This window comes from Homo sapiens, chromosome 1 (assembly GCF_000001405.40).
Source record: "Homo sapiens chromosome 1, GRCh38.p14 Primary Assembly".
NCBI classification, from domain to species: domain Eukaryota; kingdom Metazoa; phylum Chordata; class Mammalia; order Primates; family Hominidae; genus Homo; species Homo sapiens.
The window spans coordinates 197,191,337-197,210,349 of record NC_000001.11 but is presented as its reverse complement, the minus strand read 5'-3'; the positions used below and the strand labels follow the sequence as shown (position 1 = coordinate 197,210,349).

The following is a 19,013-nucleotide window of genomic DNA, read 5'->3' as shown; positions in this document are numbered from 1 at the left end:
TACCACATTATGGAGGGTAATTTTCTTTACTCAAAGTCTACTTATTTGCCTGTTAATCACATATAAAACACCCCTCCACAGCAACATCCTCAGGGTGTTTGACCACATAATTGGGCACCACAGCCTAGCCAAGTTGACAAATAAAATGAACCATCACAGTTGTTACTGGTAAATACTATTTTATTTTGTACTTCAATGTTACATCCTGCAACTTCATTAACTAATAATTTCTCCATAGGGAAAAAATGGTGAATAGGGGGCAGGACTAACTTGCAGCTCCCACTTGGATGGACAGAGCAGTGTGTGGAGGCTCACATTGTGAACTTTTACTCCAAGAACTACCATAGGAACATACCAGGAAAGCTGAGATAATTCACAGACCCTTTGAAAGAAGCAGATAGCTGCCCTGGGATACAGTGGAAAAACTGTGAATGCCCAAAGTGTGAATGTGTAAAAGGGGGATCATCTGCCTCCAAATACATACCCCCACTGGGGAACCTGAAGGTCCAGATCACAGGGGAAGGATTTGGACTTACCTGGAGCTGAGACAAATTTAGAGAGCTGAGCGAAATACAGGAGTAGAAGACGCAGCAAGAAGAGCCCTATGCGCATTCTTGGTCCCCAGGGAAGCCATTTCTGACTTTGTCTCACACGGGTTTTTGGAAAGGGCTGCCAGGGGAACTGGGAAAAGACCGCAGGAGAGGCCAGGTGTTGTGGCTCACACCTGTAATCCCAGCACTTTGGGAGGCTGAGGCAGGCATACAACCTGAGGTAAGAAGTTCAAGACTAGCCTGGCCAACATGGGGAAACCCTGTCCTTACTAAAAATACAAAAAAATTAGCCAGGCATGGTGGCACTCGCCTGTAGTCCCAGCTACTCAGGAGGCTAAGGCAGGAGAACTGCTTGAGCCTGGGAGGTGGAGGTTGCAGTGAGCCAAGATCGCCACCACTGAACTCCAGCCTGGGCAACAGAGCGAGACTCCATCTCAAAAAAACAAAACAAAACAAAACAAAACAAAAACAAAAACAAAACAAAAATGGCAAGAGAAGGAAACTTCCAGCTGAACAATTTTGATTGAATGCAAAGTTTCTGGACAGAACCTGGGAGAGGGAGCAAATCGGGAGTGCAGACACAGCACAGAAGCTGAGGCATGTGGGGAGGCATGAAACCTGAAAGCTGTGCTTGCTTTCTCAGTTGGGAGGCTAGTAGCCTAGGGTAAGTTCTCAGCCCTGCTCACATGCCATCTGGAAATAAACTTGATGCTGTTGGCAGGGCATGATGGAAGTGAGACTGGCCTTTTGGGCTGTGTGGGAGCGGGGTGAGGTCTGTAAGTGCCAGCTTTCTCTCACTTTCTTGGTGACCTACATGCAGCAGAGGCAGCCATAATTCCCCTGGGAACGTAACTCCATTGGCCTGAGAACCACACCCCCATCCCTACAGCAGCCACAGCAAACACTGACCAAGGAGAGTCTGAGCTCAGACGCACCTAACCCTACCCCCACCTGATGGTCTTTCTCTACCTGCCCTGGTAGCCAAAGACAATGCACATAGTTCTTTGGGAGCTCTATGGCTCATCTAATGCCTGAGCCTAGGGCAAGTTTGTATCCTTCCCACACAACCGGAGGTGATGTGGTCTTGAAAGCATCACCTCCTGGCTAGAGGCCAACCAACAGAAAACCAGAACATTTAATAAAAATACAACCAAGTACCCTCACAGAGTCCACTTCACTCCCCTGCTACCTACACCAGAGCAGGAGCTGGTATCCACAACTGAGAAACCTGAAGACAGTTCACATCACAGGACTCTGCGCAGACACTTCTGGAGCCTGGTAGCTCCACTGGGTGGCTACATCCAGAAGAAAAATAAAAATCATTGCAGTTTGGCTCTGAGGAAACCACATACCTAGGGGAAGGGGGAGAGCACCACAATAAGGGAGCACTCCATGGGATGGAGGAATCTGAATAGCAGCCCTTGAGCCCCAGATCTTCTCTCTAACATAGTCTACCCAAAAGAGAAGTAACCAGAAAAACAATTCTGGTAATATGGCAAAACAAGGTTCTTTAACAACACAAAAAGATCACACTAGCTCAACATCAATGGATCCAAACCAAGAAGAAAACTCTGAATTGCCAGAAAAAGAATTCAGAAAGTTGATTATTAAGTAATCAAGGAGGTACCAGAGAAAGGTGAAGTCCAACTTAGTGAATTATAAAAACAGATACAAGATATGAAGGGAACAATCTTCAGTGAAATAGATAGTATAAATTAAAAAAAAATCACAACTTCTGGAAATGAAGGACATACTTAGAGAAATGCAAAATACACTGGAAAATCTCAGCAATAGAATTGAACAGGTAGAAGAAAGAAATTCAGAGCTCAAAGACAAGGCTTTTGAATTAACTCAATCCAACCAAAACAAAGAAAAAATAATTTAAAAAAAGAGCATAGCCTCCAAGAAGTTTGGGATTATGTTAAATGACCAAACCTAGGAATAACTGGTGTTCCTAAGGAAGAAGAGAAATCTAAAAGTTTGGAAAACACATTTAAGGGACTAATCGAAAAAAAATTTCCCCAGTTTTGCTAGGGACATAAACATCCAAATACAAGAAGCTCAAAGAACACCTGGGAAATTTATTGCAAAAAGATAATCACCTAGGCACATAGTCATAAAGTTATCTAAAGTCTAGATGAAGGAAAGAATCTTAAGAGCCATGAGGCAAAAGTATCAGGTAACCCATGAAGGAAAACCTATCAGAATAACAGCAGATTTCTCAGCAGAAACCCTATAAGCTAGAGGAGATTGGGGCCCTATCTTTGCCCTCCTTAAACAAAATAATTATCAGCCAAGAATTTTGTATCCAGCAAAACTAAGGTTCATAACTGAAGGAAAGATACAGTCTTTTTTCAGGCTAACAAATGCTGAGAGAATTCACCACTACCAAGCACTACAAGAACTGCTAAAAAGAGCTCTAAATCTTGGAACAAATCCTCAAAATACACCAAAATAAAACCTCCTTAAAACATAAATCTCACAGTACCTATAAAATAAAAACCCAATGAAAAAAAAAAGGCAAGGTATTCAGGCAACAAATAGCACAATGAATAGAATAGTACCTCACATCTCAATAGTAATGTTGAATGTAAACGGCCAAAATGCTCCACTTAAAAGATACAGAATGGCAGAATGGATAAGAATTCACCAACCAAGTGTTTGCTGTCTTCAAGAGACTCAACATATAAGGAAGGGCTGGAAAAAGATATTCCATGCAAATGGACACCAAAAGCAAGGAGGAATAGCTATTCATATATCAGACAAAACAAACTTTAAAGCAACAGCAGTTAAAAAAGACAAAGAGGGAAATTATATAATGATAAAAGGCCTTGTCCAACAGGAAAATATCACAGTCCTAAATATACATACACCTAATACTGGAGCTTCTACATTTACAAAACAATTACTACTAGACCTAAGAAATGAGATAGATGGCAACACAGTAATATTGGGGGACTTCAATACTCCACTGACAGCACTAGACAGGTTATCAAGACAGAAATTAAACAAAGAAAAAATGGATTTAAACTATACTTTAGAACAAATGGACTTAAAAGATATTTACAGAACATTCTACCCAACAACTACAGAATATATCATCAGCACATGGTACATTCTCCAAGACAGACCATATGATAGGCCACAAAATGAGTCTCAATAAATTTAAGAAAACTGAAATTATAAAAGTACTCTTTCAGATCACAGTGAAATAAAATTAGAAATCAACTCCAAAAGAAACCCTCAAAACCATGGAAATTAAATAACTTGCTCCTGAATGATCATTGGGTCAACAATGAAATCAAGATAGAAATTTAAAAATTCTCTGAACTGAACAATAACAGTGACACAACCTATCAAAACCTCTGGGATACAGCAAAAGCAGTGCTAAAAGGAAAGTTCATAGCCTTAAATGCCTACATCAAAAAGTCTGAAAGAGCACAAATAGACAATCTATGGTCACATCTCAAGGAACTAAAGAAACAAGAACAAACCAAACCTAAACCCAGCAGAAGAAAAGAAGTAACAAAGATCAGAGCAGAACTAAATGATATTGAAACAAAAAAATACAAAAGATAAATAAAACAAAAAGCTGGTTCTTTGAAAAGATGAATAAAATTGATAGACCACTAGTGAGGAGGTTAAACAAGAAAAAGGAGAAGATCAAATTAAGCACAATTAGAAATGAAATGGGAGATATTACAGCTGATACCACAGAAATACAAAAGATCATTGAAGGCTACTGTGTACATCTTTATGTGCATAAACTAGAAAACCTAGAGGAGATGGATAAATACCTGGAAATGTACAACCCTCCCAGTTAAAACCAGGAAGAATTAGAAACTCTGAAGGGACCAATAACAAGTAGTGAAATTGAAACGGTAATTTAAAAACTGCCTACAAAAAAAAAAAAAAAGTCCAGGACCAGATGGATTCGCAGCTGAATTCTATCAGACATTGAATGAGAAATTGGTACCAATCCTATTGACATTATTCCACAAGACAGAGAAAGAGGGAATCCTCCCTAAATAATTCTATGAAGCCAGTATCACCCTAATACCAAAACCAGGAAAGGATATAACAGAAAAAGAACACTACAGATCAATATCCCTGATGAAAACAGATGCAAAAATCCTCAACAAAATACTAGTTAACCAAATCCAACAGCATATGGAAAAGATAATCCACCATGATCCAATGGGTTTCATACCAGAGATGCAGGGATGGTTTAACATACGCAAGTCAATAAATGTGATACACCACATAAACAGAATTCAAAACAAAAGTCACATGATCATCTTAATAGACACAGAAAATGCATTTTACAAAATCCAGCATCCCTTTATGATTGAAACCTTCAGCAAAATCGGCATAGAAGGGACATACCTTAACATAATAAAAGCTGTCTATGACAAATTCACAGCCAACATTATATTGAATGGGGAAAAGTTGAAAGCATTCCCCCTGAGAACTGGAACAAAATAACGATGCCCACTCTCACCACTTCTATTCAACACAGTACTGGAAGTCTGAGCCAGAACAATCAGACGAGAAATAAAGGACATCCAAATCAGTGAAGAAGTCAAACTGTTGCTGCTTGCTGATGATATGATACCTAGAAAACCCTACACATTACTCCAAAAAGCTCCTAGAATTGATAAATGAATTAAGCAAAGTTTTAGGATATAAAATTAATGTACACAAATCAGTAGCTTTGCTATACACCAACAGCGTCCAAGCTGAGAATCAAATCAGTAACTCAAACCCTTTTACAATAGCTGCAAAAAAATAAAATAAAATTCTTAGGAATACACCTAACCAAGGAGGTGATCCTCATCTCTCACCTTATAAAAAAATTAACTCAAGATGGATCAAAGACTTAAATCTAAGACGTGAAACCATAAAAATTCTAGAAGATAACATTGGAAAAACTCTTATAGACATTGGCTTAGGCAAAGACTTCATGACCAAGAACCCAAAAGCAAATGCAACAAAAACAAAGATAAATAGATGGGGTTTAATTAAACTACAATTTTCTGCACAGCAAAAGAAACAATCAGCAGAGTATACAGACAACCCGCAGAGTGGGAGAAAATCTTCGAAATCTCTACATCTGATGAAGGACTAATATCCAGAATCTACAAGGAACTCAAACAAATTGGTAAGAAAAAAAATTCCATCAAAAAGTGGGCTACAGACATGAATAGATAATCCTCAAAAGAAGATATACAAATGGCCAACAAACATATGAAAAAATGCTCAACATCACTAATGATCAGGGAAATAAAAATCAAAAGCACAATGTGATACCACCTTAATCCTGCAAGAATGGCCATAATAAAAAAATCAAAAAATAATAGATGTTGGCTGGGACATGGTGAAAAGGGAACACTTTTACACTACTGGTGGGAATGTGAACTAGTACAACCGCTATGGAAAAGCGGAGGAGATTCCTTAAAGAACTACCAGTTAATCCAGCAATCCCACTCCTGGGGATCTACCCAGAGGAAAAGAAGTCATTATACGAAAAATATATTTGCACACGCAGGCTTGTAGCAGCACAATTTGCAATTGCAAAAATATGGAACCAGCCCAAGTGCCCATCAATCAATGAGCAGATAAAGAAATTGTAGTATACATATATATTATGGATTACTACTCAGCTATAAAAAGGAACAAAATAATGGCATTCACAGCAACATGGATTGGAGACTATTATTCTAAGTGAAGTAACTCAGGAATGGAAAACCAAATATCATATGTTCTCACTCATAAGTGGGAGCTAAACTATGAGGATGCAAAGGCATAAGAATAATACAATGGACTCTGGGGATTCAGGGAAAGGGTGGGAGGGGGGTGAGGGATAAAAGGCTACACATTAGGTATAGTGTGTACTACTTGGATGATGGGTGCACCAAAATCTCAGAAATCACCACTAAAGAACTTATTCACGTAACCAAATACCACCTGTTCCCCTAAACATATTGAAATTAAAAAGTCAAAAGTAATTAATCCATAGGATTTAAAACCATTTTTTCTAAATATCTAAATATGGCACCAACATACTTAAAACATATAATGATTAATTTTAGTCTTCCTTTCCAAAACTTATACATTCTATTTCTTACTTATGCTTATTTCTCCTAGGTAAGGCCTCTATTAAAATGTCAAGTAGGCCAGTCGCCATGGCTCACACCTATAATCCCAGCTCTTTGGGAGGCCAAGGCGGGTGGATCACCTGAGGTCAGGAGTTCAAGACCAGCCTGGCCAACATAATGAAAGCCCCTCTCTACTAAAAATACAAAAATTAGCCCGGTGTGGTAGCATGCGCCTGTAGTCACACTACTCGGGAGGCTGAGGCTGAGGCAGGAGAATTGCTTAAACCCGGGAAGCGGAGGTTGCAGTGAGCCAAGATAGCACCACTGCACTCCAGCCTGGGTGACAGAGCGAGACTGTCTCAAAAAAAGAAAAAAAAAGTCAAGTAATGATAGAAAGCATACTTGGTTTATTCTCAAATTCCGTGGAAGTTTTCAATCTTTCATTAAGTGTGATATTTGCTCCATTTAAAAATTTTTCAGTAGCTTCTATTTATATTAAGCCATTTTCTAATCCTTGCTTGAGATTTTTAAAAAATCATGTGTTAAATTTATCAAATATTTTTCTGCATCTATTGAGATGATCAATGGTTTTCATCTTTCATTCTGTTAATACGAAGAATTACACGTTTATTTTTAAATGCTAACTAAATCTTTCATTCCTTTATTAAATCCAATTCAGTTGTATCTCTCTCTCTCTCCGTCACACACACACACACAGACACACACACACACACACACCACAAAGACATCACTTGTAGGTCTACGATTTTTGCACCTAATTTTATGAGTTTGACCTATAATGTTCATTTCCTGCAACGTATTTTCAAGTTTGGGTATAATCATTATGCTTGTCTCATGAGATGTGACCTGCCCCTGCCACCCATTTTAAATTTTTTGAAGAGTTGGGTAAAACTGGCAATATCAAATCTTTCCAAAAGTTTCTAAACCTTTTACATATCCCAACACCCAAATTTTTGGTCTATTGGTTCTCTTTATTGTATATTTCACTATTTCATTATTTGCTCTTATCAGAATTTTTTCTATTTCTTTGGATTTATATTTTTCTATCTTGGATCAGCCCTTCTGTTTTAATAAAAACACATTTCCATCAACGTTCTAAGTACTAAGATAATGATAGCTTTCACTTCTAAATTATTCTTTTAATCTGCTTAGTTATTTTTGATAATTTTTTCATTTCCCTTCATTTCTTTAAATATACTTGTTTCTGATAATTGCAATATCTGCAGACTACCATCCTTTTTCTATCTTGGTTTTACATTTTTCTCTCTTTTCAGTGTGGCTAGTTTTTGTGGGATGAGTCTCACAGGTGATATGAATCTTTGTGCAAATCCATGTGAATGTGAGTTTTTGCTAGGAATTTTCATGAAAGGCTTAAAAATTTTATTTTTTCAATTCCCAAGAAAATCGGAGACAGGCAAGTTTCTTCATAGCCTCCTCCTGTTTGCCGGTGGGGAGTCCAACTCTGCAGGAGTTCTTCCATGGAGTGCGGCCCTTTTAGTTGTCAGGTTGTATGTGTATGGGAGGGACGAGAGGGTGGGGGAAGAAAATTAGGCCACCCATCCTATTTTGTCTCAGCCTTCATCTTATATTCCTTATGCCTGTAAAATCACACGCTCTAGGACCTTGCGCTTCATAATACGAGTCCGCAGATAAATGATATCAGCACCTCCTGGGACTCAGAAATCCAAAATCTCAGGCACTAGCTCCAAAAGTTGTCCTTGTGGATTTTTCTTTACTTTTTGTTTCGGCTTCCTTTCCTGTCCTACCAGCTTTACGCTTATATAAACATTTTTCTATTTTTTTTCTGTGTACAATGATAGGTATAAAATTTTTTTTCTTAGTAATCGCGTTTAGATTTAACCGTTTAAGTCAGAAAAATAACGAAACGAGATCAGCATCGCTGGGTTCTTTCGTGCACGCCAGTAGGTTAGCTGGGACTGGCTTCTGGCAGTTGCTGTTTGGTAGATTACAAACTATTAAATACACCAGTGAGGATGAAATCCATTCGTGCGACTGCACCTCGGCAAACTACTTCTAAACTCTGCGTCCATCCTCCCCTCTCCCATTGCCCTCCCTCAGCAAAAGCCTCACGGTTTCGATCGGGGTAGGCCACCGAGCCACTGCGAAAACCCGGAGTAACGGATTCGGCGTGTAGCTAGGGTCTCCGAGGGAGTACGGGGAACTTAAGGAGCATGCGTAAAGCGGCGTGCGCGCACATGCGCACTCGTTCGCGCAGGGTCGCGCGCCGGTCTCTCTCAGGAGGGCTTGGAGGCTGCGCGAGCGGTTGACGTGTTCGTTGGCTGCGGAGGCGGCGGAGCTCTGGGAGGGGAAGGAGCGGAGGGAGGGGAGGGGGTGGTGAGGTGGGGGGCTGAACCCGGAAGTGGGTAGGCGCAGGAGCGAGCGCGCCCAGAGTGGAGCTCAGCTGCTGGGAGCCAGCGGGGGAGCCTTGGGTTCCCGGTAATGGATCTGTGGGGCGTTTTCCCAGGGAAACTGGGTGGGAAGGGTAGCGGGATCGCCGACTACAAGCGCATTCTCCGCCTTGCCCGGGCCTGGGAAAGCTCTTCTGCTTCCTTTAGTCGTCCCTCTGGTTGACCCCACTTCTGCTCTGCGCCCCTCCTGGGGCCGTCTCTCACCGGGTGGCTTTGGCTGAGGGACGCTCTCTATTCCTGAAGAGCTGTGCCTTGCCCGCCCGAGGAAAGCATGTTAATGGAGAGACTCGGATCTCGCGGCCGCCACGGCCTTATTGTCACCATCCCAGCACCCCTAAACCACGACTTCAGCCTCCTCAACCCGCACCGTCAACGATCTTGGAAGATCTCTCCCCTTTCTGCCCGGGTATTTTCACCCTGTTCGTGAATCAGGCCTGGAAGGTGTGCCTGGGTTCCTTTAAAATTATTCTTTTGTTGGCTGCCTTTTCTAAACCCGGCCCTCCTTGTTCTCCGCCCCAAAATCTTTGCCACGAATGAGTGTAAGCTGTGATTTTATCATCATTCAGTTATAATTAGAAAGAATTCGTTGATGATTGCCGTTGGCTGATTTAGCATTGCTTTGCCATGGAGTTATTTTACGTGGTTCTCACTCTTTTGCAGACCATGAAACCCTTGGGCACGCCCCTTCAGAAGCTGTTATCCAAGACAATCTAGTTTTCCTTTATAAATCACTTAAGACACTTATGAAGTTTCTTGTTCTGAAATTGCTGTACTGCAATGAAGAAGAGGAGAAAGGTTACTTCAAATCTTGAGAAGATCCATCTAGGCTATCATAAAGATTCTTCAGAAGGAAATGTTGCAGTGGAGTGTGACCAAGTGACCTATACTCATTCTGCAGGAAGACCAACTCCTGAAGCTCTTCACTGTTACCAGGAACTTCCTCCCTCTCCAGATCAGAGAAAGCTTTTAAGTTCTTTGCAGTATAATAAGAATTTGCTAAAATATTTAAATGATGATAGGCAGAAGCAACCATCTTTTTGTGATTTACTTATCATAGTGGAAGGAAAAGAATTTAGTGCACATAAAGTAGTCGTTGCTGTCGGCAGTAGTTATTTTCATGCGTGTTTGAGCAAAAATCCAAGCACTGATGTTGTCACCCTGGATCACGTAACACATTCAGTTTTTCAGCATTTGCTTGAATTTCTTTACACATCAGAATTTTTTGTGTACAAATATGAAATACCTCTTGTTTTAGAGGCTGCAAAATTTTTGGACATTATAGATGCAGTGAAGTTGTTAAATAACGAAAATGTTGCCCCTTTTCATTCAGAGCTAACTGAAAAGTCATCACCAGAAGAAACACTAAATGAATTAACTGGAAGACTATCAAATAATCATCAGTGCAAATTCTGTAGTAGACATTTTTGTTATAAAAAGTCTTTAGAGAATCATTTGGCTAAAACCCATAGGTCCCTTTTATTAGGGAAAAAACATGGGTTAAAAATGCTGGAGAGAAGTTTCTCCGCAAGAAGATCAAAAAGGAATCGGAAGTGCCCTGTTAAGTTTGATGACACCAGCGATGATGAACAGGAAAGTGGTGATGGGTCAGACAATTTGAATCAAGAAAATTTTGATAAGGAAAAGTCAGATAGAAATGATTCTGAGGACCCTGGAAGTGAATATAATGCTGAAGAAGATGAGCTAGAGGAGGAGATGTCAGATGAGTACTCTGACATTGAAGAACAAAGTGAAAAGGATCATAATGATGCAGAAGAAGAACCTGAGGCTGGTGATTCTGTAGGAAATGTTCATGAGGGGTTAACTCCAGTGGTCATTCAGAACAGCAACAAAAAAATATTGCAGTGTCCTAAATGTGATAAAACATTTGACCGAATAGGTAAGAAAAGAAAACTGGTTTTCTATCTCTAATCACTTACTTTTCTTGGATATTTTAAAGGTGATAAATAAAAACTAAACTTGGAAAGTAACTTCTAAAAAGACTGTTTAAGTAGGGAGAATACCTTGGTTTTCAATAGTGTTTATCCTGTTACTTTAAAGTTGTTGTGATTCAGGAATTAATTTAAGTATTTATATTAGCCTTTACTTTTCTTCATCTCCCAGTGACACATCATTAGATCATGTATTTGCTATGAAAGACTCCAGAGTGTCAATAATTATCATGTAGAGCTTTGATTTATATGCCGGTTTAATTCCAGTGATAAATACTATTTTTAACTCATTAAAAAAGTGGATTATATTAGATTTAATAATGTGTATACTGTTTTCCCCGTGCATGGTAATATATGAGTTATAAATGTTGTCACTTTTCCAGTATCTAGCACTATTTAATAGAAAGGGGATGTTTTATATTAAACTATGGTGAAGGATAAAATTGAAATGAATGTAATTTAATACTGTAGATAGAGACTTTAGGTAGTATCCTAGTTAGTAGCACTCTGGTTATATTATACATGTGACTTTAGCCAAAAGGCCAAGAAGCTTTGGTTGTTATAATAATGAATACATCAACTTTTTTTCTTTTAGAAAAGAATTTGAGGAAATGTAGTCTATCACTTTAAGTTTTATGTCAGTACATGTTTAATTTCAAGTTGTCTAATATTTGCTAGGTAAGATAATTCTTGGAAGTGTCTGAGATGAACTGTTCTAATGTAAACTTTTCAGTTGCAACAATTAAGCTTCCAGGTAAATTGAAGTTATGAAATTGTGAAATATATTCTACCACATATAATGATAAAAAAAAATTACTGCAATCTGACCTGGTAGAAATTACTTACCCAGTTTAATATATCCCCATATGTCTTACAGTGTTAACTTACTTATGTTATTGATATAGGCGGAAATTGGTTTTTTAAGGAATTGGTGATCATTTGCTGTAAAAAGATGTTGCATTATACGCTGACATAACAGTGGTATCTGCTTTTTGCTTTTTATAATGTTTTTTGGAATAATTTTCTCTCTGAATCAGAATACTTTGGACAATCTAATTTAATAATTATTAATATTTTAACTGAGGCTGTGTGTAAACATGAATAAAATAACTTCTTCAGTAACAATTCCAAGAGCATATGTATACAAGTAAGTTGTTAAAGTTAGACTGGATAAAATGCTGTTGTAGAACTGTAAACAAATACTGTGAAGATATGTATAGAGGTGAGAACAGCTTTTGGGTTGAAGTACCTGAGAACATTGCATCTTTCCAATAGACTTCTTAGACTTTGTACTCTTAGTGCATGCTTCCTGTATTCTGCCTTAATTGTCTTAATTTGACTTGGAGATGAGTGAATAGGGATGAGTTCACAAATGGTATTGTAGGTGCAACACAAATATCTCAAACTGTCCCACTGAACATTAGTCCCGTGACATGCTATGTAAGAGAAGGCTTCTGTGTTCAAGTAAGATTGGGAACTACGTAATTCACAATCGGTTTTAACTGCCCAATTCTTTAGTAAAGAAACCTGTTGATTTTGCTTAACCCAGTATTTCCTTAAATCATTTTACCGCAAGATACTTTGGAGGTACTTCTTTGAGCATCCTAGGAAACTAGAGTTTTCTGCACAATTTGGGAAAATACTGCTCAAGATTGAGGTGCTGATTTACTAAGAGGAGGACATTTTGCTCCTTCCTTCCTTCCTTCCTCCCTCCCTCGCTCCCTCCCTCCCTCCCTCCTTCCCTCCCTCTCTCCCTCCTGTCCCCTTCCCCTTCCTTTTTTTCCAAGTTCAGCCCAGATAATTGTGGGAATCAGTAGGTCACATTGTAGGTTTATTTCTGACTGACCTTTCTGAATGTATTTTACATTATGTCACTCTTCTACCCATTCCTCTTTTTTGTTTAGCCCTGCTGCTTGCTTTTCACCAGTAGTTTCTCATCTCTATTACCTTAGTGTATCTATATCTATATCTATCTATATCTTATTCATATATCGCTAGTTAAAAAGCCTGAGTTATAGTAATATAAGACTGCTTGGTTTTTTTGGAATCCTGTTCTTGGGTGAGTTACTTAACCTGTCTGTGTTTTTGTTTCCTCATAAGTAAAGTGAGATGATGCTAATGTGATGCTAATAGTACCTTCTCATGGGGTAGGGAAAGGTTATTATGAGGATTAAATGGGGTAATTCTAGGGAATCACTTAAAATATTGCACAAAATGTAGGTGTTCTAGCATATTTATTGTCTCTAAGCTGCCAAACATTATTAAACAAATATGAAATGATATATTCTCTGTCATCAAGAACCTTAGAGTTTAATGGGTACATGAAAAAACACAATCATGTTACAATAAAGATAATTTTATCAGGATAAGTATAGAAGACTAAGGAAATCAGGAGAAGTGTCTCAGAGCAGATAGTATTTGAGCTGAGACTCAAAGAATAGGGAACAGTTTACAAGACAGAAGGACCAGCATGTGCAAAGGCATTGAGGTATGTTGTATTCTGGAAATTGCTCAAGTGTGAGTGGTTTCAAGGTGGTCAGGGAGGCATAGTGAAAATAACAGGAGATGAAGGTGGGCAAGAAAGTGGTGGTCAGATTTTGTATGTCTTGTATGTTCTACAGAGGTGTATACTTTGGACAATCTAATTTAACTAGACTAGACTTTATTCAGTAGGTGATAGGGACTGTTGAAAAGAATTTTACAAAGGAAACCATGGCCTGTAAGAATTTTAGAAAGATCATGGTGGCTTCAGTGTGGAGAAGGAAATTGGAAAAAGGGATGAAAAAAGAGCCAGGGAGACAAGAAGGAGCATATAACAAAGGACCAGAATGATAATGTAGCTTAGACTTGGAAGATGAGTGGCGTTGGGAGTGGGATGTAGAATGAGAGTAAAGCAGAGAGTTATGATACATTGAATGTAGACTAAGTAGACTGGTGATGAGTAGAATGAAAAGAATATGTAGCAGAAGATCCATGTGTCTTAAGTGTCCTCTCTTACCATCTTTATTATTAGAAGTACAGTTTATTTAAAAAAATAACAACACAGGAGTTCGAGCGCCACCTTCCCATTATTCTCATATCATCCACATTCCTTTCGTAGAATTTTAAAATGCCACCCAGATTTTGGGGTATTTATCTGTCTTAGATTGTGAGCCTGGAGGTTACGTATCTTACTCTTGGCTAGTATTCTTTGTAACATCTCAGGTCATTTCAAATAAATTTTTAGTAAGCACTTGTTTATTTGAGCTAAGTTGAAAAGTTGGTATCTGGCTTGACTTTGGGCTTGTAAGAAGCCAATTAGCCTTCTTTAAGCTTCTAACTTGGCTTCTTTGGGGTGGGTTTATGAGAGATGCATAAGCTTTGAGACCTTCTGCTGGAACCATTAGTTCCACAATAAGTAATCTACTAATTTGATTCCATTACTTTGCATCTTTTATCCTTTCTTCCAGTTATATTTTTCCTTAGGCTACCGGCTGTCTTCCTCTCAGCAAATTATCATGCAAATAAGAGTCCTTTGACCTTTCCCCTTATACCAAAAACCTAGTGGATAAACAGGCAAAAATAGGGAGATGACAGATGGGGTGAGAGAGAAAATTTGGATAATTCATCTTTTTTATTGTTTCCACAGAGAACTAAAATCTTTCATTAGATTAAATTCACAATCTCTTCTAGAGGTAGAACATGTTTTATACCTTTAAAAAAAAATGTGACTAGTCCATCGTGCAGATATTCCACTTAGTTCTTAATAGAAAAGGGTTATAACAATGGCACAACTCTCTAAGGCTAAGTATTTTAATTACATATTCTTTAGACTAACTCATATGAATATTTCAAGGTACATTTTAAGATGTAGCAATATCAGATATATAATGAACTCATCTGGTGATATTTCTCTTTGTAAAAACTGCATACAAAATCTAACATTGGTAATTTTATATGACCCATGTGGGAGTAAACTCTGTATAAGGTCAAATTTGTTCATGTGAAAATATCTTTAATTTATGACTTCTGATTTGAGACATGATTCATATTGGGATTCAGTTCAGAAAAATGCTGTGGATAAAATTTCTTATGTTATAAAATGTTATGTATTTTCTGTTCAGGATCAGGAATGCTTGGGTGTAGTTTAATATTCTGTGAAGGAATACTGTTTTTGAAATTGAAACTTTGATAAGTTTTAAGTGAACATTTTGATTTATACATTATTATTGAATGCCCCACTCCATGAAAGTAGAGAAACAGTTGTAGATGTTTACTGTTTGTGCTGAGGAGTGCCCTCCCCCTGGCAAAAAACAAAACGAAACAAAACAAAAACAAAGAAAAAACCCTACCAAATGATTTAAACATGAAAATCGAAGATTAACATATATTTTCCCACTAGTCTGTAGAGATCTACCTAGCTCTTCTGGGTCCAGCATTCCGTCAAAAGTTGTCTCTCCTGTTCTTGTTCAGAAATTCAAATCCATGGTGATAACAGGCCATGCAAAGCCTAAGTGCATAAAATTTGAATTAATAACTAAAAAATTATTTTACTTACTCAAATTTCTGTATTATCATTGGTCTGCTTGATTTGGCTGAATTTATTTAAAATGGTTTTTAAAAAAATCATGAGATTTTTCTAAATTTGGCTATTTCAGTTTAAATTCCCAAACTTCCTTCTTCTTCTTCTTTTTTTTTTTTTTTCTTGCTTAAATCTTTATCTCTCCTGGTCTGTAGGGAAATGGAAGCTTACTAGTCAAAGTGATTTTAATTTTTAATATAACTGCCATTTCAATGACTTCAGTATTTAGCTATAAGTAACTTAATTTTTATTTGCATGCATAGAAGAAATTCTCAATTTTAAATAGAGGGAGAATGCTGCTAATTATTAATTTAACATCTTTTCAGCAAAGACATTTTCATAGCAAGTAAATGATTTGTTGAAAAATTTTTCATACTTTAAGATTTTTATTATGCTGCTACTTTTGTTAGAAATAAAAATGAGGTCCAGGCGCAGTGGCTCCTGCCTGTAATCCCAGCACTTTGGGAGGCCGAGGTGGACGGATCACCTGAGGTCAGGAGTTCGAGACCAGCCTGACCAATATGATGAAACCCGTGTCTACTAAAAATACAAAAAATTAGCTGGGCGTATAGCATGTGCCTGCAATCCCTGCTACTCAGGAGGCTGAGTCAGGAGAATCGCTTGAACCCGGGAGGCAGAGGTTGCAGTGAGCCGAGATCGCGCCAGTGCACTCCAGCCTGGACAAGAGCAAAACTCCGTCTCAAAAAAAAAAGAAAGAAAGATGAGAAGATTTAAGCATTAGGAGGTTGATAAGTTGTCTCTCAATCTTGAGAATCTGTGCTAAACATGCACAGTCAATCCCCAGTTAAAAATGGACCTGTTCCAAAAATCACAAGTTTAGTTATTAAAAAATCAGACTGTATACTTTTGATTTTACAGTTTTTTAAATATCAGTATGATTATTTACATAATTTAAAAGGTGAGTTAAAAATGAAATGTGAAAACTTTCACAATAAGGGAATACTTAAAAACCCATATAGTGACCTCTGTCTTTTCCCAGTATTTGGTCTGATTCCTTGAACACAGCGGGGGAGGTGGTGGTGGTAGGATGTGTACATGTATGTGTAAATGGTTGAGTATACTCTAGCAGTAGCAGAGAGGGAACTGAGATACTAAGCAATTTTAGCAGTGGCAAGGGGAAAGAGCCAAGTGTATCCAATGTTATCAGAGAGCTGAAACCCTAGTTTGATTTGTTATAACAGATATTCATAAATCAGATGTATCCATGTTTATATTTGAGGTATACCTACATGTCCATATTATGACTAGTAACCCGTATGATAATAATGATGACAGTTAATATTTATTAGTGCTTACTATGTGCTGGGTTTTTTTGTTTTTTTGGTTTTTTTTTTGTTTGTTTTTTTGTAGAGTTGGGGTTTTGCCATGCTGGCCAGGCTGGTCTCAAACTCATGACCTCAAGTGTTCACCCACCTTGGCCTCCCAAAGTGCTGAGATTACAGGCATGAGCCACCGTGCCTGGCTGTGCCAGGATGTTTTAAGTGTTGTTGTGTGTATTTGTTAACGTATTTACTTGTCACAACCCCATGAAGTGTTACTAACGCAAGTAAAGAGAGGTTAAATTATTAGCTTGATTAAAATCGCGCAACTAATTTAGGAGATGCCTAAATATTGACTGAGTTTTCTGACTATATGCATATCAGATATGCATATACCATTACTATGTTCTACACCTAAATACCTAATTTTTCATTGTACTTCTGTTTTCTTTGCTTGTGATTAACATTCTTCCCTTACCTTAAGGAAATACATTGGTTTCCTTTCCTCAGTTTTTTTATTATTTTTAGAAAATATGATATTACTTGCTTAATAAAATCAGTTGTATATATATTTACTAAATTATTGAATTTATTTTATTTTATTGGGTAGACACATAATTATGATTATATCTTTCCTCAGTGGCCTTGGAATATTTTGGATTTTTCATAATTTTCATGTTATACATAGGATGTATCCTTTTTAAAGTATATGACTGAAATGCTATACTTTCACATTAGTTTTCACCTGAAGAAAAATTTATTTATACATTTATTTTTCAGGAGAGAGCAAAGCTAAGTTTTTAATTAAGAGTTACCTTTCATGTTGATTTATTTTCCTATTTTTATTGCCTTTTGCTTGGAAATATATTTCAAAATTTCTAATTCAAATTACTAGATGTGCATATTCACAGTACACAGATTACCCAGTAATAATAATAGACAACAGTAATTGATAACTTATGTGTTCGACACTGTTGTAAGTGCATTATGTGTATGAATTTGTTTATTATTACAACAGTTCTATTAGGTAAATTCTGTTATTACCGCAGTTTTTCAGATGAGGAAGATTTGAGGCATATAGAGGTTACTTGTCCAAGGTCACGTAACCCTCTATTTAGAGAGCCAGTATCCATATCCAGGTGTATGGACCCACAGAGATACCAAAAATATGAACATAATAAATCTTAAATGATGAATTGATCTTTTGCTAAAAGTTAATTTTAAGTTTAAAAATACATTTAAAAATTTAAGTTTCAGAGAATTTTCCAACAGTTTTCAGAAAATGTATCAAACCTCTTAATTTTTAAAATGTGTGATCATGAATATTTTTTTTTAATGACTCAAGTTTTTGAGGAAAAGTACACTTTGAACAGGAAGCACAAAATAGTAAGTCATTAGGTTTATCAGAGGTAGAAATTTACGTAAACTTTTTTCTAGTTTTGTGTGTGGATTTGGATGTGTATATAAGTTTGCTAAATCATGAGGTTTTATTCCACTCTCAAATTCCAATCACAGTATAGCAAATGTACTAAATTTAATTTTAATTTTTCTTTTTTTATAGGAAAATATGAGAGCCACACCCGTGTTCACACAGGTGAGAAGCCCTTTGAGTGTGATATTTGTCACCAGCGCTATTCAACAAAGTCTAACCTAACTGTTCACAGAAAGAAGCACAGTAATGAAACAGAATTTCATAAGAAGGAGCACAAGTGCCCTTATTGTAATAAACTTCATGCAAGCAAGAAGACTTTAGCCAAGCATGTTAAGAGGCAAGTATTATCTTGCTTCCATAATATACTTTATTGTGCCTTTTAATTTAAATATGTGGAAAGCTAAAAACATCTATAAAGTGCTTATCTCCAATTCTTTCATTGGAGATTCATTGAGATACAGTATTTTGATTATCCTGTTTTCTTTCTTGGGTTTTGGCAAGTCTGTCTTCAGAAATATGTGGTTTTTATACTCTGATAAGTTTCTTTCTCTTTTTTTTTTTTTTTTTTTTTTGAAGTAGGGCTTCACTGTGTCGCCCAGGCTGGAGGGCAGTGGTACAATCTCAGCTCACTGCAACCTCTAACTCCTGGGTTCAATCAATCCTCCCATTTCAGCCTCCTGAGTAGCTGGAAC

The 19,013-nt window shown here is 37.5% G+C and overlaps 2 protein-coding genes across 7 annotated transcripts in view, besides 2 other annotated features; one reads left to right on the top strand and one right to left on the bottom strand.

Moving 5' to 3' along the window:
• Positions 1-8,846, bottom strand: part of CRB1 (crumbs cell polarity complex component 1) — a 276,952-nt gene extending 268,106 nt beyond the window's left edge. For both annotated transcript variants that reach the window (NM_001257965.2, XM_047416573.1), the window contains exon 1: positions 8,762-8,846. The gene's annotated coding sequence lies outside the window, so the exon portion shown is untranslated. The remainder of the gene's footprint in view (positions 1-8,761) is intronic.
• Positions 8,725-9,310: an enhancer, noted in NCBI's record as "H3K27ac hESC enhancer chr1:197170170-197170755 (GRCh37/hg19 assembly coordinates)". NCBI's record gives its function as "activates a minimal SCP1, AML or CMV promoter by ChIP-STARR-seq in primed H9 embryonic stem cells {active_cell/tissue: H9 hESC(primed)}" and the evidence as "EXISTENCE:reporter gene assay evidence [ECO:0000049][PMID:30033119]".
• Positions 9,001-9,110: a silencer, noted in NCBI's record as "silent region_1660". NCBI's record gives its function as "represses an Ori minimal core promoter by ATAC-STARR-seq in GM12878 lymphoblastoid cells {active_cell/tissue: GM12878}" and the evidence as "EXISTENCE:reporter gene assay evidence [ECO:0000049][PMID:35858748]".
• The window catches only part of ZBTB41 (zinc finger and BTB domain containing 41), a 47,612-nt gene continuing 37,655 nt past the window's right edge, over positions 9,057-19,013 (top strand). For 4 of the 5 annotated variants that reach the window (NR_135153.2, NM_194314.3, XM_011509507.4 and 1 more), the window contains exons 1-3: positions 9,057-9,127; positions 9,760-10,996; positions 18,451-18,658. Coding sequence is in view for 4 of the 5 variants with exons in the window: in NM_194314.3 (NP_919290.2) it covers positions 9,877-10,996; positions 18,451-18,658 (1,328 nt within the window). In the remaining variant the exon portion in view is untranslated. Of the gene's footprint in view, positions 9,639-9,759; positions 10,997-18,450; positions 18,659-19,013 lie in introns of all 5 variants that reach the window. The other variant, XM_047419671.1, reaches the window with a different exon arrangement.